This window comes from Homo sapiens, chromosome 14 (assembly GCF_000001405.40).
Source record: "Homo sapiens chromosome 14, GRCh38.p14 Primary Assembly".
In the NCBI taxonomy this organism is placed as follows: Eukaryota; Metazoa; Chordata; class Mammalia; order Primates; family Hominidae; genus Homo; species Homo sapiens.
In genome coordinates, this window is record NC_000014.9 from 31,813,745 (window position 1) to 31,836,933 (window position 23,189).

A 23,189-nucleotide genomic window follows, 5' to 3' on the forward strand; every position below is an offset into this window, starting at 1 on the left:
CTCTTTGTTCAACTCCCACTTATAAGTGAGAACATGTGGTGTTTGGTTATCTGTTCCTGTGTTAGTTTGCTGAAAATGATGATTTCCAGCTTCATCCATGTCCCTACAAAGAACATGAACTCATCCTTTTTTATGGCTGCATAGTATTCCATGGTGTATATGTGCCACTTTTTCTTATCCAGTCCATCATTGATGGGCATTTCGGTTGGTTCCAAGCCTTTGCTATTGTGAACAGTGCTGCAATAAGCATACGTGTGCATGTGTCTTTATAGTAGAATGATTTATAATCCTTTGGGTATATACCCAGCAATGGGATTGCTGGGTCAATGGTATTTCTGGTTCTAGATCCTTGAGGAATCCCCACACTGTCTTCCACAATGGTTGAACTAATTTACACTCCCACCAACAGTGTAAAAGCATTCCTATTTCTCCACAACCTCTCCAGCATCTGTTGTTTCCTGACTCTTTAATGATTGCCATTCTAACTGGCATAAGATGGTATCTCATTGTGGTTTTGATTTGCATTTCTCTAATGACCAGTGATGTTGAGCTTTTTTTCATATGTTTGTTGGCTGTATAAATGTCTTCTTTTGAGAAGTGTCTGTTCATATCTTTTGCCCACTTTTTGATGCAGTTGTTTGTTTTTTTCTTGTAAATTTGTTTAAGTTCCTTGTACATTCTGGATATTAACCCATGTCAGATGGATAGATTGCAAAAATTTTCTCCCATTCTATAGGTTGGCTGTTTACTATGATGATAATTTCTTTTGCTGTGCAGAATCTCTTTAGTTTAACTCCATCCCATTTGTCAATATTGGCTTTTTTTTTTGCCATTGCTTTTGGTGTTTTAATCATGAAGTCTTTGCCCATGCCTATATCCTGAATGGTATTCCCTAGGTTTTCTTCTAGGGTTTTCATGGTTTTAGGTCTTACACTTAAACCTTTAATCCATCTTGAATTAATTTTTGAATAAGGTGTAAGGTAGGGGTCCAGTTTCAGTTTTCTGCATATGGCTAGCCAGTTTTCCCAACATCACTTATTAAATAGGGAATCCTTTCCCCATTGCTGGTTTTTGGCAGGTTTGTTAAAGATCAGATGGTTGTAGATGTATGGTGTTATTTCTGAGGCCTCTGTTCTGTTTCATTGGTCTGTATCTCTGTTTTGGTACCAGTATCATGCTGTTTTGATTGCTGTAGACTTGTAGTATAGTTTGAAGTCAGGTAGCGTGATGCCTCCAGCTTTGTTCTTTTCGCTTAGGATTGTCTTGGCTATATGGGCTCTTTTTTGATTCCGTATGAAACTTAAAGTACCTTTTTCTAATTCTGTGAAGAAAGTCAGTGGTAGCTTGATGGGGATAGCATTGAATATATAAATTACTTTGGGCAGTATCGCCATTTTCACAACATTGATTCTTCCTATTCATGAACATGGAATTTTTTTTTCCATTTTTTTGTGTCCTCTCTTATTTTCTTGAGCAGCGGTTTGTAGTTCTCCTTGAAGAGGTCCTTCACATCCCTTGTAAATTGGATTCCTAGGTATTTTATTCTCTTTGTAGCAATTGTGAATGGGAGTTCACTCATGGTTTGGCTTTTTGTCTGTTATTGGTATATAGGCATGCTTGTGATTTTTGCACATTGATTTTGTATCCTGAGACTTTGCTGAAGTTGCTGATCAGCTTAAGGAGATTTTGGGCTGAGACGATGGGGTTTTCTAAATATATAATCATGTCATCTGCAAACAAAGACAATTTGAATTCCTGTCTTCCTATTTGAATACCCTTTCTTTCTTTCTCTTGCCTGATTGCCTTGGCCAGAACTTCCAATACTATTTTGAATAGGAGTGGTAAGAGAGGTCATCCTTGTCTTGTGTCATTTTTCGAAGGGAATGCTTCCAGCTTTTGCCCATTCAGTATGATACTGGCTGTCGGTTTGTGATAAATAGCTCTTATTATTTTGAGATACATTCCATCAATACTTAGTTTATTGAGCGTTTTTAGCATGAAGTGGTGTTGAATTTTATCGAAGGCCTTTTTGCATCTATTGAGATAATCATGTGGTTTTTGTCATTCGTTCTGTTTATGTGATGGATTATTTTTATTGATTTGCATATATTTAACCAGCCTTGCATGCCAGGGATGAAGCCGACTTGATAATGGTGGATAAGCTTTTTTATGTGCTGCTGGATTCGGTTTGCCAGTATTTTATTGAGGATTTTTGCATTGATGTTCATCAGTGATATGGGCCTGAAATTTTCTTTTTTTGTTTTGTCTCTGCCAGGTTTTGGTATCAGGATGATGCTGGCCTCATAAAATGAGTTAGGGAGGACTCCCTCTTTTTCAATTGTTTGGAATAATTTCAGAAGGAATGGTACAGTTCCTCTTTGTACCTCTGGTAGAATTCAGCTGTGAATCCATCTGATCCTCGCTTTTATTGGTTGGTGGGCTATTAACTACTGCCTCAGTTTCAGAACTTACTGGTCTATTCAGGGATTCAACTTTTTCCTGATTTAGTGTTTGGAGGGTGGATGTGTCCTGAAATTTATCCATTTCTCCTAGATGTTCTAGTTTATTTGCATAGAGGTGTTTATAGTATTCTCTGATGGTAGTTTGTATTTCTGTGGGATCAGTGGTGATATCCCCTTTATCATTTTTTATTGTGTCTATTTGACTCTTCTCTCTTTTCTTCTTTATTAGTCTGGTTAGAGTCTATCTATTTTGTTAATCCTTTGAAAAAATCAGCTCCTAGATTCATGGATTTTTTGAGGAGTTTTTCTTGTCTCTATCTCCTTCAGTTCTGCTCTGATCTTAGTTATTTCTTGTCTTCTGCTAGCTTTTGAATTTGTTTCCTCTTGCTTCTCTAATTCTTTTAATTGTGATGTTAGGGTGTCGATTTTAGATCTTTCCTGCTTTCTCCTGTGGGCATTTAGTGCTATAAATTTCCCTCTAAACACCACTTTAGCTGTGTCCCAGAGATTCTGGTTTGTCGTCTCTTTGTTCTCATTGGTTTTAAAGAACTTCTTTATTTCTGCCTTAATTTCATTACTTACCCAGTAATCATTCAGGAGCATGTTGTTCAGTTTCCATGTAGTTGTGTGGTTTTGAGTGAATTTCTTAATCCTGAGTTCTAATTTGATTGCACTGTGGTCTGAGAGACAGTTTGTTATGATTTCCATTCTTTTGCATTTGCTCAGGAGTGTTTTACTTCCAACTGCTAACTAGAATAACCAGTTTAGAGAAGAACATAAATGACCTGATGGAGCTGAAAAGCAGCACGAGAACTTCGTGAAGCATTCACAGGTTATCAGTATCCTAATTGATCAAGCAGAAGAAAGAATATCAGAGATTGAAGATCAACTTAATGAAATAAAGCATGAAGACAAAATTAGAGAAAAAAGAATGAAAAGGAATGAACAAAGCCTTCCAGAAACATGTGAAAAGACCAAACCTACGTTTCATTGGTGTACCTGAAAGTGACGGTGAGAATGAAACCAAGTTGAAAAACACTCTTCAGGTTATTATCCAGGAGAATTTTCCTTCCCCAACCTAACAAGACAGGCCAACATTCAAATTCAAGAAACACAGAGAACACTGCAAAGATACCCCTTGAGAAGAGCAACCCCAAGACATATAATTATCAGATTCACCAAGGTTGAAATGAAGGAAAAAATGTTAAGGGCAGCCAGAGAGAAAGGTCGGGTTACCCACAAAGGGAAGCCCATCAGACTAACAGAAAATCTCTCTGCAGAAACCCTATAAGCCAGAAGAGAGTAGTAGCCAATACTCAACATTCTTAAAGAAAGGAATTTTCAACCCAGAATTTCATATCGAGCCAAACTAAGCTTCATAAGCAAAGCAAAAGAGAAATAAAATCCTTTATAGACAAGCATCCAGGCCTGCCTTACAAGAGCTCCTGAAGGATGCAGTAAATATGGAAAGGAAAACTGGTACCAGCCACTGCAAAAACATACCAAGTTGAAAAGACCATTGACACTATGAAGAAACTGCATCAACTAATGGGTAAAATAACCAGCTAGCATCATAATGACAGCATCAAATTCACAAATAACTGTATTAACCTTAAATGTAAGTGGGGTAAATGCCCCAATTAAAAGATGCAGACTGTCAAATTGGATAAAGAGTCAAGACCCATCAGTATGCTGTATTCAGGAGACCCATTTCATGTGCAAAGACACACATAGGCTCAAAATAAAGGGATGGAGGAATACTTACCAAGCAAATAAAAAGAAAAAAAAGGAAAAAAAGCATGGGTTGCAATCCTAGTCTCTGATAAAGCAGACTTTAAGCCAGCAAAGATTTAAAAAGACAAAGAAGGGCATTACATAGTGGTAAAGGGATCAATGCAACAAGAAGAGCTAACTATCCTAAATATATATGCACCCAATAAAGGAGCACCCAGATTCATGTAGAGACCTACAAAGAGACTTAGACTCCCACACAATAATAGTGGGAGACTTTAGCACCCCACTGTCAATATTAGACAGAACAACGTGACAGAAAATTAACAAGGGTATTCAGGACTTGAACTCAGCCTGGACCAAGCGGATATAATAGACATCTACAGAACTCTCCACCCCAAATCAACAGAATATACGTTCTTCTTAGCACCACATCGCACTTACTCAAAGTTGGATTCTTAGCCTTCCAAAGTTCACATGCTATCTCTCACCAGTATCTTTGTTTTTTTCTTCTTCATCAATTAGGATGATTTAGAACACCAGTAATGTTGATATAGCATTGTTTCCACTTATTATTGTGTTTAATTCTTTTTTCCACAGTTGATATAGTTTTCTTTTTTTCTTTTTGAGTTGGAGTCTCGCACTGTCACCCAGGCTGGACTGCAGTTCACTGCGATCTCGGCTTACTGCAAGCTCCGCCTGCTGGGTTCACGCCATTCTCCTGCCTCAGCCTCCCATGTAGCTGGGACTACAGGCGCCGGCCACCACGCCCGGCTAATGTTTTGTATTTTTAGTAGAAATGGGGTTTCACCGTGTTAGCCAGGATGGTCTCGATCTCCTGACCTTGTGATCTGCCTGCCTCGGCCTCCCAAAGTGCTGGGATTACAGGCGTGAGCTGCCGTGCCCAGCCAATTGATATAATTTTCTGTAGGAAGATTTGTTTCTGAAGTGAGCAAAATAATGATTCATTTCTAAATTAATAAAACATTCTCTTTGTGACTGTAATCACTTGTATAGTCTGTTGGAAAGGAGCAAGAGATCAAAATAGTGACTCATCCAAGAATTATTTATATTTCCTGTTGGTCTGTGAGTACATTTGAGGTGAATTTACCTTTTAAATTATGTTTCTTTCTGCTGATACTAATATTGGTAGGTAATCCTTGATCTTACAGCAAATAATATTTAAAACTCAGGAATTTTGGGGGTGACAGGAGAAAGACAGAGGAGAGCTAAAAAATACCAATGCCAATCTACTTTATAGTTAATAGAAAATTATATTTGGTATTGTTTTTGTTAAACATCAGATGTTGAATGATTATTTTCTTTTGATGCAAGTATATTTCTAAATAAAGGAGAATCAGTAGCACTAAATATTAAGAGCAGTGTGAACATTAAAAACAGTTAATTTTTTAAGTCTTATTTGACTTTATATTGGTGTGCTCATAATTGTAAGGTATGGAATTATTTCTCCAGCTATAACCCTGAGCAGGTTTTGTTGCACATGTCTAGTAGGCTCCAGCACTGAAGTTCTCAATCAAGCAAGAGAATTAGATACAATCTATGCCCTGGGGACTAGAATGCATAGTTGAGTTGTTCCACACTGGTATAATTATGATCAGTCTAACATCTGGAATCATCAGTTTTAAATGTTTAACTACTCTGAACTCTGACCCAAATCCACATATGCAGTCATAAATAGATTTTCCTCTTAATAGGAGGATTGACAATTAATATTCTAAATAATTATTTTGTAAAATGTTTATGTATTTGCCAGAATCTGCCAGACAATCAACCTTTTATAGTAAATCTCAGCTGATAGGAAGCCTTTTAAAAGGATTATAAGTTGTGAATTAGCATTTAAACAATATTTTTAATCGTTTAGACTTAGACATTTACTTTAGAAAATGGACAGAGAATTCTTGGCCAGGCGTGGTGGCTCACACCTGTTATCCCAGCACTTTAGGAGGCTGAGGTGGGCGGATCACGAGGTCAGGAGATCGAGACCATCCTGGCTAACACGGTGAAACCCCATCTCTACTAAAAATACAAAAAATTACCTGGGCATGGTGGCGGGTGCCTGTAGTCCCAGCTACTCAGGAGGCTGAGGCAGGAGAATGGCATGAACCCAGGAGGCGGAGCTTGCAGTGATCCGAGATCATGCCACTGCACTCCAGCCTGGGCAACAGAGCGAGACTCCATCTCAAAAAAAAAAAAAAGAAAAAGAAAAAAATATTGATAGAGAATTCTTGATGGGCTTCTTGAGATAGGCATTTTTCCCTCAGAAAATAATTCAATTTATTGCAAACTAAACTTCATTTTTTGCTGCTGTTGACACTTCCTTACAGTCAGTAGAGAGAGCACAAGTTTTCTATCAGTCCCTTCATCACAAACTGAAGTGACATCATTAATGATGGTATAAAGGGTGAAAACTCTAGACTAATTCATATTGGCTCATGTTTCTGGGAAAAATTTAAATTTAACAGGTAGAAAGCCAAGAATTATAAAGATGAAATGTAATATCAGGTTTCAGAGACCATCTGTTAAGTCGAATGATACAGTAACAAGAATAAATTGACATAATTCCTTTAAAATTTAAAAATCTGGGGCCGTGTGCGGTGGTGCACGCCTGTAATCCCAGCACATTGGGAGGCAGAGACAGGTGGATCACCTGAGGTCAGGAGTTAGAGGCCAGCCCGACAAATAAGGTGAAACCCCATCTCTGCCAAAAATACAAAAATTAGCTGGGCATGGTGGTGGGCGCCTGTAATCCCAGCTACTCAGGAGGCTGAGGCAAGAGAATTGCTTGAATCCGGGAGGTGGAGGTTGCAGTGAGACGAGATCGTGCCATTGGCACTCCAGCCTGGGCAACAGAGCAAGACTCCGTCTCAAAAAAAAAAAAAAGGCCCAGCGCATTGTCTGGCACCTGTAATCCCAGCACTTTGGGAAGCTGAGGTGGGTGGATCACCTGAGGTCAGGGGTTCGAGACCAGCCTGACCAACATGGAGAAACCCCATCTCTACTAAATAAATACAAAAATTAGCTGGGCATGGTGGCGCATGCCTGTAATCCCAGCTACTCTGGAGGCTGAGACAGAAGAATTGCTTGAACCCTGGAGGCGGAGGTTGCGGTGAGCTGAGATTATGCCATTGCACTCCAGCCTGGGCAACAAGAGCGAAACTCCATCTCAAAAATAAATAAATAAATAAATAAATGAAATTTAAAAATCTGGGCTATCAAAGCAAAAATGGACAAATGGGATCACATCACGTTAAAAAGCTTCTGCACATTAAAGGAACCATCAAAGTGAAGAAACGACCCGGAAATGGGAGAAAATATTTGCAAACTACTCAACTGACAAAGGATTTATAACCAGAATATATAAGGAGCTGCAACAACTCTATAGGAAAAAATCTAACAATCCTGTTTAAAAATTGGCAAAAGATCTGAATAGACATTTGTGAAAAGAAGTCATACAGTGGCAAACAGACATATGAAAAGGTGCTCAGAATCATTGATAATCAGAGAAATTCAAATCAAAACTACAAAGAGATATCATCTCACCCCAGTTAAAATGGCTTATGTCCAAAGTCAGGCAATAACAAAGCTGACAAGGATGTGAGGAAAAGGGGACCCTTGTCACTGTTGGTAGGAATGTAAATTAGTACAACCACTATCGAGAACAGTTTCGAGGTTCCTCAAAAAACTAAAAATAGAGCTACCATATGATTGAGCAGTCCTATTGCTGGGTATACACCCAAAAGAAAGGAAATCAGTATATCAAAGAGGTATCTGTACTCCCATGTTTATTGCAGCAGTGTTCACAATAGCCAAGATTTGAAAGCAACCTAAGTGTCCATCAACAGATGAATGGTTAAAGAAAATGTGTTATTTATACACAATGGAGTACCATTTAGCTTTGAAAAGAATGAGATCCTGTCATTTGCAACAACGTGGATGGAACTGGATGCCATTATGTTAAGTGAAATAAGCCTGGCCAGAAAGACAAACATTGCATGTTCTCACTTATTTGTGGGATCTGAAATTAAAACAATTGAACTTTTGGACAGAGAGAGTAGAGGATAGTTATTCGAGGTAGGGAAGGGTAGTGGGGTCGGGAGGAGATGGCAGTGGCTAATGGGTACAAAAAAAAATATTTAGAAAGAATGAATAAGACCTAGTATTTGACAGCACAACAGGGTGACTATAGTCAATAGTAACTTAATTGTACATTTTAAAATATCGAAAAGTTTAATTGTATTGGTTATAACACAAAAGATGAATGCCTGAGGGAATGGATACCCCATTTTACATGATGTGGTTATTACACATTGCATGCCTGTATCAAAACATCTCATGGACCCCTTAAATATATATAACTACTATGTACTCACAAAAATTAAAATAAAATTTAAAATAAAAATCTAGGTTATGCTAGATTAAGGACTAAATTTAGTTTTACTGGAGATTATGTTGTTTATGCATTATTTTCTTATAAAATTTGAAGTTCACTTTAGGGCTATCTGAAATAATTACTTATATGATATACGAAACTTATATACTATACTAAACTTTGATGTACTATACAGCAAAAGAGGTAGTGATTTATGTGTGAGCCAGTTATGTTTCTGTCTTCTTCAACAAGGATTAGAATTTTATTTTCAGGGCAAAACCCAGAGGCTGATTGTATTGTGATTAAGGACTTAATCATTAATTAAGAACATATATTTCAGCAAAATACCCCATATATTTCTACAAATAGTAGACAAAAAAAATTTTACACCAAAAAAAACTTCTATAAATATAGTTCCATGAAATGTTTACATGCTTCGTGAGCATTTGACAGGACATGGAAGATGATCATTGTCCTTGTCAAATGTTGTTATTAATTTGTTCGAATGGTGCTATTCAGACTATTCTGCAAAGAAACCCAAATGGCATAGATGCTTATTTGTGCTACTGTGTTAGGGTTAATTAAGCACAGAGAAAACCAAGCCAGTTTAATATCCCTCTCTAGTATCTTATAGCTATTAAAATAATGTCCCTGAACATTTTAATAAAACTTTTATTTTTTTAATGTAACAGCTGTTTAAGTTAAATAGGGCCTATGGAAATAGATTCATTTTATAAAGGAGTTAATTGAGATATATCGAGACTTAGTTATTCAAGGTTATATATTATATTAAGACTGTCATCAAAACCAGAATCTGGAGCTCTTGACTCCTAGTTCAAGGAGTTGCCAACTTAAAGTTTATGCTGAAGTAATCTAGGGGAGATGATTCTGAAAATATAAGAACATTGTTTAAATTGCTGATCTTTTGCTAAGTGCCTGTTTTGTGCAAAATATTATGTCATTACTTTTGTTTGATAAAAAGATGAAAAAAATCATAATGTCCTTGAAGCTATATTGTGTAATGGTGATACAAATAGTAGACAAAAAGTGTTTAAAACAGTAACATGTTTATATCATATGAAAGCTAAGAATACTTTTTAGAGCCAATGCAGTAGAGAACACCCTACATACTAATATATAGTGAAGGAGAAGATTTGGAGGAAATAGCCAAGGAGATTCCTCTGCTTATGTAGGAAGAGAATAGCTCTGAGATTGAGGGCTAATACCCCTTAAATAAGATTACTAGGGCAGTCAAGTTGAGCAGAGGTCGTTCTAAAAGCTATTTATAGTTAAGATGTAATGCTAAATAGTGTAATCATAGAGATAGCTGAGTCCTTGGAAACTATCTAGTGCAGGCATTAGTTTTACAGTTAAAGAAACTGAGACTCAGAGTGATTCTTAGTTATTTGTTTGAAGTTAGTTATACAGCTGGATACAGCCAGAGCTAGAATTTGATCCTTTCCAAATGACTGGATATGAAAAAAACTAGGAAACAGATTAATAAGAGAATCTGGAAGGTGGCAAATTCTGGAAATGTATTGGAGGTGTAGAGTGTAATTTTTGCCGAGATATGATTTCCATCAGTCTTTGCAAGAGGGGAAGAGAGTGTTAATTTTTGGTTTCTTGGGCAAAGTAAATCAAAATAGAAGGCTGTAGGGATCCATGGAACAATTTGAAAAGTAGGATGAGCTGCCTGATAGCCTTTAGGAAAATGACCTTCCCAGCAACGTCTAAGGCATTTTATTAATAACAATAATATATGTAATAATGATATTAACAGTGACAGCTATCATTTATTGAATGTTAGGCATCATGTCAAGTGTCTGTGTGTAGTAGTTTATTTAATTATTTTAATCCTGTGACCTAAGTATTTTCATGCTATTTGTAGATGAAGAAACAAAAACTCTGATAGGTTAAGTCATTATCTAGTCATACAGGTAGTCAGCTATAGAATCAAATTTTGAATCCTGATCTCTTTGAATTCTAAAAATAGTGTATCTCAAACTTGAGTAATGAATAGGCCCTCCTTCTAAAGGAAAGATAATCTTCCCGCACCCCATACTGACTTATTTTTATTATAAGATTACTTAACTAGGTGTAAACACAAATTTCTTAAGTTTATAGCTCATATTGTATAGTTTAAAAATTAAATTAAATACAAGCAAAACTTACAAAATCAGTAAAATTCAAATTTATGACGTTAATTTAATGTAAAAGATTTTTTTCCTGAAATGAAGATGCTGATTGCAAGATGAATTTACAGCTAACTACTACTGTATAGGTTCTTTTGAGTTTGGCATGCCCATACTGCCATGTGCTTTGTGATAACTTAGTTCTCCTACCACTTTTCTCTATTTGAACTTCTTCAAAATATCCCTTCAGGCAATACTGTCTAGTATCATTTGACCTTCACTTGGTGTAATCAGTTATTTATTGTTAATCTTGCCTCTGTTTTCATTAGTTGTGTCTGCCACTTGATACCAATTTAACAGTTTGGGGCTCTGAATTGTCACAGCATTCTGTATTTAATTATAAGGTGATGGTCAGCCATGTGATCTATATTATGTTTATGTTAATTATTTTTTAGGTTATCATCTAGAGGGAACCACAAAATTAAAAAAAAATTCACGGATTCAGCCAATCTTAACCAGGCCTTTGTTGTTTTGACCTAAAGAAAAATTGTGCTGCACTTTCTCTCAAAACTCTGTACAGTAGTACTACCTGGTTTCTGTAGGGTAGTAGTGGAGATCCAGAAAATTTGCCATCTCCATCCACTTCAGTTCAGGCCTCTACCATTTTGCATCTGAATTTCTACCACAGCCCTCAGTTTTATTCCCACCAAACTGCTTTCCACAGTGTGAGTTTTTAAGAATATAAACTTCTAGGACTCAGCCTAAGAATCACCTCTTTCTGGACACTTTTCTCCATTGTTTCTCCTATGTCTAGCTTCCCCTTCCATCTGTCATACTTCACCATTTTCTCTCCTAGATTGAATTAGTTAGCTTTTCTTCCTATTTCTTCTTTATAACTCCATAACACCCTGTGCACACCTCTGTTATAATGCTTAGCATATTGTATTGTAATCCTTATTTTTTCAGTCTTCCAAGTAGAATATTAACAGCTTCTTCTTCCTCCTCCTCCTCTTCTTTTCTTCTTGTTCTTTCTTCTCCTCCCCCTTGTTCTCCTTCTCCTCCTCCTTAGCATATGGTATTGTAATGCTTAATTTTTCAGTCTCCCAAGTAGACTATTAATAACCTCCTCCTTCTCCTCCTCCTCATCTTCCTCTTCTTCTCCTCCTCCTCCTCCTCCCCTCTTTCTCCTTTCCTTTTTCCTTTTCCTTTTCTTTTTTTCTCTTTCTTTTGTTCTTTCTTCTTCATCTTCCTCTTTTTCCTCTCCTTCATCATCTTCTTCATTGTCATCTTCTTTTTTCTTCTTTCTTCTTCCTCCTCCTTTTTCTTCTTTCTTCATTTCTTCTTCTCCTCCTCCTCCTCCTTCTTCTTCTTCTTGTTTCTTCTTTCTTCTTTTTTCTTCCATTTTTTTTTTTGAGATGGGGTCTCACTGTATTGCCCAGGCTGGTCTTGGACTCCTGGGCTTAAGTGATCCCTCCGCCTCAGCCTCCCAAGTAGTTTGGATTACAGGCACATGTCACCATGCCTGGCTATTGGACTATTAATTTGAAAGTAAAGCCTAGCTTGTGCATCTGTATAACTAGCACATTATCTGAATGAGAAGAAAGTTCCACTGATAGAGTTATGATCCTGAATCACTGATTAGTCAGTTGCGATTTTTATTTTATTTTATTTTTTGTTTTGAGATGAAGTCTTGCTCTGTCACCCAGGCTGGAAGGCAGTGGTGTGATCTCCGCTCACCGCAACCTCTGTCTCCCAGGTTCAAGTGATTCTCCTGCCGCAGCCTCCCAAGTAGCTGGGATTACAGGCACGAGCCACCATGCCCGGCTAATTTTTGTATTTTTAGTAGTTACAGGGTTTCACCATGTTAGCCAGGCTGGTCTTGAACTCCTGACCCCAAACGATCTGCCCACCTCGGCCTCCCAAAATGCTGGGATTATAGGTGTGAGCCACCGTGCCCGGCCCAGTTGTGATTTTAGAAGTGAGGATTCAAAGGTAGGCCAAAACAAAGTCGACATTTTCTTGTCTTTCTCATTCATGTGTGTAAAATGTATATGAATGACCTAAATAGTTAACGTAATAGACTATTTGCGTATGTAAGCAACATAATGCTGGAAGTAATTTCTCCATAGAGAATTAAAAGATAATAGTATTTTGTTTATCTTTGGCTAGGTGCTGTGATTGTCTCCACGCCCCAGGACATCGCATTGATGGATGCACACAAGGGTGCTGAGATGTTTCGCAGAGTCCACGTGCCCGTAAGCGTTTACAGCTTCACTGTGAAAAATATAAAACTCTTCTAACTGAAGAAGCAAGTCATTGAAAAATACAGTTGAAGTTTTAATTTAGTCCTGTACAGAAGTCTTTATGAAAGTCCTAGTTTATCATTTTGGTGACTTTAAAAACACACTTATAGGTACAAACATGTCTATACATGATATTAATCCATAAGAATTGTAAAACACCCTTTAGGTAAGAGTTTTCTATAGAAGTGCTACTTCTCTCATACTTGCAGCTATCACTGACAAAAAAAATTACAAGAGTGTTTTAGGAAATTATTTAGATAGATAGGCTTGAATAGATCACTTATGGGGAAGCGGATGAAAAAAAGATTACTTTTTTCCTTCTGCCTCCTACAGTTCAACTCATTTATAGCTCACCTTCTTCTAGGAGACACTTCAGGATTTTCTCCCTAATTTGGTGGAATGAAAGTTAAAAATAAGATAAAAATAGACAAAATAATTAAAATTAGATGGGGTTAGAAGTGAAGTCAGTAAACAAATTGCCTGCTATTAAGAAACTTAAATACATGCTAGGGGTGTACCGTGACTTTTCTAGCAGCCAAAGGAAAAGAAAAATAGTACCATTATAAAACTGTGCATTTCTACAAAGTTAAAAAAAAAAAAAAACTGGATGCTCAAAAGAGACAGAGCTGAGACCAGAGAGAAATATCTTCCCTAGGTTCTTAGAAAGAAGAACCTGTGTATGTAATGAACACACTCTCATCACCTTCTTTATAGTAAATACAGGGTTCTTCCTTCTAGTGTGCCTCAATGAAAGCAGGTGGAATTGTGCTGGAGTACAATTTAAAGCAAACATTTCAGTACAGTGTCAACATGATGCTTCTCTGTGGCTGGCTAGCTAGTGGCCTTGCTTAATTCAAAGACAGATTTTAGAGCATATATATCAGAGCTTTTTAAACTTTAGTCTGTAGATTAGCTTCAGGAGTCTCATGTTTTTTCTCTCCCTCACCTCCCCCAGCCCTAAATTGTATGCCTACAAGTATTTGTTTTGGTATGGAATGAATTATAACTTTTATCAGATTCTTCAGTGAGACCATGACACAGGATAAGATCCAGTAATGTATTTGAATGAATGGACTTGAAGGGAAGCTTTCATAAATGTTTATCTCTCAGAGGGCTTCTGAAAAGTGTAAAATAGTGTAGTAGAATGGTTGAGGTGAATTTCCTCAAGTACCTCTTCTCCCTTGCCAGTTAGCACAGTGCTGTGGGTATTGGCAAGCTGAGGAACTCTGGGTTGGATTGACATGTTCTCGTGAAAATCGAGGAGGCTTATAAGGAAGGTGCCTGTATGCTTACCTTCCAGGTGGTCCAAGGGTTTTTCACTAGCAGGTTTATAATTGTAATCAGCAAGTAGTTTAGGGCCAGTGTTCTATGTCGTGAACTTTAGGTTGGAAAATTTTTAAAACAGTGATAACCAAATGCCTGCCTCACACCGAAAACTCTCTCTAAAGCACCTAATTTGAGCAGTGTTACTTTGTATTATGCCCTCTAAGACAAACTAGACACAAGTAATGCCTACCCAGATAACTAAATAAGGTTACTTGTTATAGGGGATTTTAAAATATAAATCAGCAAAAAGTTAGGAGGTTATCTACCAAAAATTATGACATTGACTTAAGTAATCTATAATCCTTCTTTCTGGCAGAAATTAGATAACAGTGCCAATTGTCTATTAAGATCACTCCAAAGTCAGGATAATAGCCATTCTATTTGCACATAAGTGAATGCTTAACTTCTCATTCTGTAAGATGAGAGTTGAGGGTGTTCAGCTCACCCAAAAACATGAATTCCTTGAGGAAAAAGTTTTAAACAGAGCAGGAGTAAGACCTTTTTAAAATTTTACCCCCTATAAATTATCATTTTATATATCAAAATACCATTTCAACTGACACTGTCATTTGAGGTGACTGGCTGTGGAGAAAGTCCTACATGGACTTTGCTAGTTAGGAGTCTAATGACCGTAGTTGCCAAATTCAGCATATATTATTTTTCAGTCCCTATGTAAACCTGTATACCTGTGAACGTGGATACTTAATCTCATACTGTTCTGACAGATTTTTTCCTAAATTCTAAGACAGAGGGTTGGACAGATAATCCTTATGGAACATAACAGAGAGGAAAAGGGATGGTCACTAAGTCCAGGTTAGGCTATTGTTAGGTGAATGCCACTGAAGGATAGACGTTAAGGATATTAGCAAGGAAGTATTGTGAGGAAGTATTCCAAATGAAGGCTGATGGACTGCATAAGGCTCATAGGACTACTTCAGGGATCAGTTAGAAGGTGAAAGAGCTGTTTGGGATCAGAAAGTTGATATTAGAGTATAAGTTTGCCAAGTTAGAGCAGTTCTGGGTCATGACAAGGTCCAGGATGCTGTCATGGGTTTGTGGGACTTAGTGGGAGTAGAAATGAAAGTCATTGGAACTGTGTAATTCTTCCAAGTTGAAATTTATAGTTCTTTCCTCTGGCCTTTTGGACATCTTCCTGTATCTTTATTACAGCTCTCTTTTTTTTTTTCCACCCTACATTTAAATTATTTGCCTTCTAAACTACAAACATTTTTTAAAAGAGATAGAAGGTCTTAATCATTTCTTAAACCTGCAGAACAAGATAGGTATTCAGTAATGTTTGCAAGTGAATGAGTGAGAACTTTCCAGCAATAAGCTCTGTGAACAGTTGGGCAATCATGATTAGCTACATTGTAAAGAAGGTCTGGGCTATGAGTGGGAAGTGGATTTGTTGACCTCTGAGATCCCTCTGGGCCTTAAGAGCCAGCCCCACAGCCAAAGTAATAGTAAAGGATTTGAAATTATTAAGTGTTTTATAAATACAAAAAAAGATGTTATGCTTTGTTTATACCACTTTATTCCATTTCTTCCCCTTGGTTTTTAGTCCAGCTCTCTGTTTTTCCCCCATTTGACGTGCATTAGTTACCATGGAAACGATGATGTCATTGGAATTCATCGGTATGGACAGAGTTTAGTAATGTCTGCAAGAACATATTGAAGTTAATTTAAATGATTTCTTAAAACTCAAGGCTTAGATAGGGGAAGTAGGAGAAGAGATGAGCTATTAAATTCTCTGTTCTCTGCCTGAAATGATAGCAACTATGCCAAATCCTCAATTATCTCAATATTTGTAGGTAGACTATTTTTTTAAACAAAATAAAAATTTTCAGTCTTATACATTTTTAATAATGAGTAATTTATGTGTTGTGTCATTCTCACTCATTTTTCTTGCCTTCTTATATGTGGGAGTCCCAGGCACCCCGATCTGGAGCCCTTCTCCTACCATTTGAACTTCTGATGTCAAAGGGATTTCACTATATACCCCTTCCTTCTTTGATAATCTCATTCCCTGCTACTGAAAAGTAAATTAAAGTATATTTATTCTCTTACTCCTTCGGCACATAAGGGATCACTTAGTTACTTTTAATTCAACAAATGTGATTAATTTATTTTTCCACAAATCTATATTTACTGATATTTAGTGTCTTCTATAAGCAAAGTGCTATAATAAACTTCCATTAGTGGTTTAGAAAAAAATAAAGAGGATGAAGCCTCTTTCTTCAAGTACTTTATATCATCCTGTAGACTAACTCTATTTTGATGCAAAGGCCTTAAATTCTGAGATGCATGAAAACACTTTTTCTTCCAGGCTATCAGGGATGACTTTATGGAAAAGCCATGATTATTTTTTTCATGCCACTGTAATTTTACACATCCTGGTCCTTTGCCTGATAAGCCATGGCCAATTTAGGGAACTCATGTATTCATTTTTAACATCTCTGCTCAGACATTATTTCTTCTAGAAAGCTTTTCCCAGTATGCCAGGAAAAGTTAATACTCCTGTCTCAGATCTACTTACACATATATTTAGTTTGGTTCTTATTCCACTGCAGGTTTACCTGTCAGTCTTCACAGAAGAATGCAGGTTTTGGATAGCAAGAAAACATGCTTTAAACATTCTTAAATGCATAGTTACCTGGCATATAGCAGGCAGGATACTTTGATCTGGGATGTAATGCCATCCACATCTGCTGTTCCCTTTACCCCAACTCATGGGCTACTCTGCCTTGCTTTCTCTGTGCCACAGCCAAACTGGTCTTCTTCCACTTCTTTGAAGTTTCCACACACCATTTTTCTCCTCAGGACCCTTACCATGCTTTTTTCCTACTGGAGAACATTTTAACCTCACTTTTCACCTGTTAACTCCTTTTTATACTTTGGTACTTAGATTAAACAAAAAGCTTTTCTCAGGGAGAGGTGCCCTAATCCTTTTTATTTATTTATTTATTTATTTTTTTGAGACAGTCTCGCTCTGTCACCCAGGTTGGAGTGCAGTGGTGTGATCTCGGCTCACTGCAACCCCTGCCTCCTGGGTTCAAGCAATTCTCCTGCCTCAGCCTCCCTAGTAGCTGGGATTGCAGTCACCCACCACCACGCCCAGCTTATTTTTGTATTTTAGTAGAGGCGGGGTTTCACCATGTTGGCCAGGCTGGTCTCAAACTCCTGACCTCAAGCAATCCACCCGCCTCAGTCTCCCAAAGTGCTGGGATTACAGATGTGAGCCACGGTGCCCAGCCTGCCCTAACCCTTTTATGAGCTTTTTTAATTTTATGATCCAATTACACTCTATTACTCCTTTTCTAACTGTTTTCACATTTGTCAGTACTTTCACATTAGCATACTATGCTATACTATACTGTACTATACCATACCATACCATACCATACCATACCATACCATACCATACCATACTATACTCATACTATAAGCTCTATGACCACCTGTCTCTCTCGCTGTGCCTGGAAGATGTAGTTTCTCGCTAAATATATACTGAGTGAATGAGTGGAGTAGGATTTTCATAGGCATATCTAGGGACTAGGGAGGGACAGAATTCAGTCTTGAAAGAATCAGGAATACACAAGTTGTGTTCAGGATTGTTCAGTTTGTCTATAGTTGAGATAGTTACGCATTGGTGTATTGCCAGGTTTGGTAGAGCCCTAAACAGTAGGCTAAGGAATTTGTACTTTCTTCTTAAGATTATAAGAGGAGTTCATAAAGAATGCTGGATGGGAAGTAAACATCATTAGGATAGAGCTTTACAAAGTTTTAATCTGATAGAGATGAATAAAAAGAATAGGAGCCAGGAAACATAGAGGAAGTAAGGGAACATTTGCAATGATCAAAGTTATTCATGCTGCAGATTGTGACCCACCAACAGATCGTGAAATTGATACAGTAAGAGATGTAACCAAAAATGCTTAAACCATGTCAGAGTAAATTGCTCTTAGGAAGACAGTCTTATTTCATAAAGATTTGGTCTCAAGTATAAATACACATATGTGTGTATTGTGTTTCTTCCTGATGTAACAGTACTATTACAGTAGATGAACAGATAAGCAGAGTGGCCTTCTTCCATGTAGTCAAGATGTGAAATATTTCTTTTATCAGTAAGACAGTTTAAAAAGTTGGAAAAACATGGTGTAGGTGATAGGCAGTAAGGGGCTTAATTAGAATAATGCCAGTGAAAGTGGAAGGGGAAATGAATGTAATTGACATTTTGAAGGAAGAGTTGAAAATCTTGGGAATCGATTGTATAGGGTAGGAGAGTTAGAACAAAAAAGGCAGAAATCAAAAGAATTTTGAGAGTTATGATGCCATTAATAAATCTACCAGGAGCTGCTTTGTAGCTCAGGTAGACAACAAACTAGAAATAAGAGGTTAGGTTCTCAGTCACAAATCTCTGCCCTTCTTCTCTTTGAGAGTTGTGATTTAATAGTGTTTGTCAAGGAAGAAACTGGTAAAGATACTGACAAAAGAAATACTCTTTAAAAAATTTCTTATATACAGATTTTTATTACCACTTAGAGAACTATATTTTTGATATTCTTTTGTGGTTTCAAATTAAATTGCTTTCCAAATTTTCTTATAATTTTTTAGATGATAGGAAACTACTTGCAGAGGCATTTTTGCATAGTAGTGAAGAGCATGAGCTGAGGAGTTTGAATTGTAGATCCCAGCTCTGCCACTTTGTAACTGTATGACCTGAGTTATCTATTCTATGCCTTAGTTTTCTCAATCATCATATGGGAATCATAGTAATATTTTCCTCAGGAGGTTAAGATGAGAAATAAGATAATGCATATAAATGGCTTAAGTACAGTTCCTGGCAGTCTAAGCACTCAATGTTTACATAATGTTATATAATTAATTTTTTCTTGTAATTACTTTTTAGAATGTTATGAAACAGATAAATTTACAGATTTTTATGTATTTTACCTGGGTATTTTAACTAATCCCTTTAGTTGGTAATAAGAATTTGGGGCTGGGCGTGGTGGCTCATGCCTGTAATCCCAGCACTTTGTGAGGCCGAGGCAGGAGTACTGCTTGAGGCTAGGAGTTGAAGACCAGCTTAGGCAACATATTGAGACCCCTGTCTCTTTAAAAGAATAAAAAATTAGCCAAGTATGGTGGCATGCAACTGTAGTCCAAGCTACTCAGGAGGCTGAGGTGGGAGGATCGCTTGAGCCTGGAAGGTTTAGGCTGCAGTGAACTGTGATCATGTCAGTACACTCCAGCCTGAGTGTTATAGAGTGAGACCTTGTCTCAAAAAAAAAAAATTAATTAGAATTTTAAACACTACTGTTTTTTGAGATTTCTTTATTCCTTGAGTATATTCATTGAGCCATCTATATTATCTTCATATAGATTTATTAAGTTGCTATATTATTTTGAGTCTAAAATTCTGCATTATTTGAAATTTACATCATTTAAGGAAGGCTAATTGCTGTTACAAGTAGACCCCAAAATATATAATGATACAAATACAATGGCAGTTTCTTTCTTGCTCATGTAACAGTACCATTACAGTAGATGAACAGGTGAGCAGAGTAGCCTTCTTCCATGCAGTCTTTCAGACTGTTGGAGCCTCTGTCATCTTCAATTGTGACTTCTAAAATTACATTAGGAGCCATCTTCATTCTAGCTAGCCACAAGGAAAGAGAATACAGAGGGATGTACCTACATTGGAGATTTTTATGGGCCAGACCTAGATGTGATACACATACTTCTGCGCACATTCTATTAGCTAAAATCAGTCACATGGCCACATGTCATATCTCTCAAGAAGCCTAAGAAATATCAATTAGTTGTGTGCCAAGGAAGATGAGATCATGAATTTTGGTGAGCAGCTAGCAGTCTATACCACATTTGACCTGGAAACAAATATATAGATTAAATCCTAATGTAGATCACTGAACTGATTTATTTCCTAATAAATAATTCTGAAAATTGTATAACTATTTTACTCTTACAAATATTTATTTTATAAAGGAGAGATAGAAATTCTACCTTTCCTGTGGTTTAATTTTTCTGCTAAAAACAAAAAACAGAGACAAGCCTACTGTGGCCTGGAACTTTTTTTTTTTTTTTTTTTTTGAGACAGAGTCTTGCTCTGTCGCCAGGCTGGAGTGCAGTGGTGTAATCTTGGCTCACTGCAACCTCCGCCTCCTGGGTTCAAGCAATTCTCCTGCCTCAGCCTCCTGAGTAGCTGGGACTACAGGCTCCTGCCACCATGCCTGGCTAATTTTTGTACTTTTAGTAGAGACGGGGTTTCACCGTGTTAGCCAGGATGGTCTCGATCTCCTGACTTCATGATCTGCCCACCTTGGCCTCCCAAAGTGCTGGGATTACAGGCGTGAGCCACTGCGCCTGGCCGGTCTGGAACTTTTTAGTATTTATTTGTAAAGGTTAAGGATTATATTGTTTACTTAGAAAAATTAGACGATCTTTATTACCTTTATGAGACTGGATAGCATTCTGCATCTCAGCCATAATTATTTCTCAGAGACTGGAGATATATGCTTATTTGTGACTTTCCCCAGGCTCTCTCAGAAGTCTATGTATGCTTTGAACTAGAATGCTGTTCTATGTGAGTTACATAAATTAAACTCATCTCTCACAACAACCCTGTGAAATACAGAACATCATTTCCCCCATTTTGCACATGAGGAAATGTGGTTGAGAGAGGTTAAATAACTTACATAAGAATATCTATTTGTTTAGTGGGACATCTGGGCTCTGATCCAAGAAGTCAGCTTTCCAGAGCCCGTATTCTTAACTGCAGTTTCTGTGGATACTCCAGAGTTGAGTTTTAGTACTGTGGACATCATGGACTATCACAGGGTGACAGAATCTAGGGTATAAGAGGGTTCTTCATCAAATTTGCTTGTTATTGGGGTTCTGATTATTAAGGTAGACAAGTGAAGCCAGAGGAAACTGGTGGATTGAAAATGGGGAGGAGTTAAGGAGCCATAGGTTCTGTTGACAGTTAAGGAGGTATCATGTGGGCGATAAGGGGAAGGGGAGTTCCACGTCCAGGATCTAGGAGAAAGGAATGAAGCCTAAGACTTGACTGCAGCACTGGGTGGTAAGGATGGCTCAAATCAGGCCTGCCCTGTAACTGTGCTCTTAATTACTATGCTATATTGCTCAACTTTATTGACTCATTATTATTTTAAGCCACCTAATTCCATGCACAAAAGTCTCTATCTAGTTGTCATCTTGTTTGGTGACTTCCTTATACAAACCAGTCACTCAGATAGTTTGAATTTTGGCTTTGTCATTTACTAACTGTGTGACCTTGAGCAAATAATTTAGCTTCAGAGTTTCCTTCCATCATATAGGGATGATAATACCCATCTCATTGGTCACTATGGCAGTGAAGCATGATTATATTTACATTACTTAGCATAGCCTTAGCACACGGTATGGTAAAGGGTAGCTCTGAATGTTTTTGATATAGTGGTAGACATTAGAGATCATTATAAATCTTTGTTTTCAAGATTAAGAATGCAGGACATAGAGAAATTGAGTTGCACCTCATGGACCCACAACTATTTAGTTGGTCCCTGAAAGGAGCATGGACACAGGCCCCCCCATTCATTGTTCTTTCCATGTCAAATGACTATTTCTGAAAGAGAAAACAAGAACACCTGTCTCATTTTTAAAACTTATAACATCCATGCACATGCTTCAAGGAGTATACCAAAAACTGGTTTGAGTCTAACAAAGAACTGAAAAGCAGTTATGAATCTAATCTATTTCAGTTATTATCATTCATTATTTAACAATGAATTTTTCCTCCTCACTTTTTCTTAAATCATGGCTTTTAATGCTTGTAACAGGTTCCAACCAGCAAGCATTTAACCTGATTGTAACCTGGATAAATTGGATTATATAGTAGCTTAAAAATCTTGCTTGTTACTTACCTGTATCTGGGTTTAAAATGTGAAAAATAAATTAAAATTGGAGCCTTTTGGGCCTCCTTAATTCAATAGATTTAGACAGAAAAATCCAATATTCAGAGCGATGTTCATATTTCAAGAGAATCAATTTTTAAAAAGTTAAGAAAAGAAGTGCCCTTCTGAGCCAGTGATGGATTGGAATACTGCAAAAATCACACGCAAAAAGGTTGTGGTGGCTGATGGTAGCCAGGCATGTAGTATTTGCTTTCTTTCAGTAAAAGTAGCTGAGGTAAAAAGAAAAAAGGACCTTATGCTTTGATGAGACATTAAAAAATGATTGAGCATGCTTACAGCTGTATCTCAGTGGTATTATGTAAATTAAGCTATAGCAAAGAATCTGTTTTCTAATGTTTCTGCTATTAAAGGATATACACAATAGCTCTACAATAAATACAAACAGCTTAACAGTATATGAAGTATTCACAAGATGTAAGGCTTATTTGGCGGGGAAGACATCATAATGGACTTGAATTCTTTCCTATTTAAGAGAGAAGAATTTTTAATGAACAAAACTGTAATATGGATATTCTAATGTTCTTACTGCATTAGTTGCCCCCATTCAAAACCTCCTTGATTATGGAGGATTGCTGTTAAGTGAACTTGAGCAGTGGTTTCTAAGCTTTTTAATACCCAAGGCTTTCTTTTAAATTGTCCCCCAGCTAACCCCATGTTTTGAAAGAATTGTTTGCCACTGTTTGCATATGTTAATTAATGACTGATGTCTTCTCTTTTTTAATAAATCAAAGATAGAATATATAAATAATATGTATGTACATCTATATATAGATATAACTGTATCTCTGTGCATACAGAGAGAGACATACACAGAGTTATGTATATAACTGTTGTATGAGCTCTGCACAGAA

The 23,189-nt window shown here is 37.1% G+C and overlaps 1 protein-coding gene across 9 annotated transcripts in view; it reads left to right on the top strand.

Moving 5' to 3' along the window:
• The window catches only part of NUBPL (NUBP iron-sulfur cluster assembly factor, mitochondrial), a 299,821-nt gene that overhangs the window by 252,341 nt on the left and 24,291 nt on the right, over window positions 1–23,189 (top strand). For 8 of the 9 annotated variants that reach the window (NR_120408.2, NM_025152.3, XM_047431787.1 and 5 more), the window contains one exon: window positions 12,885–12,970. Coding sequence is in view for 8 of the 9 variants with exons in the window: in NM_025152.3 (NP_079428.2) it covers window positions 12,885–12,970 (86 nt within the window). In the remaining variant the exon portion in view is untranslated. Of the gene's footprint in view, window positions 1–12,884; window positions 13,061–23,189 lie in introns of those variants that run through there. The other variant, XM_047431788.1, reaches the window with a different exon arrangement.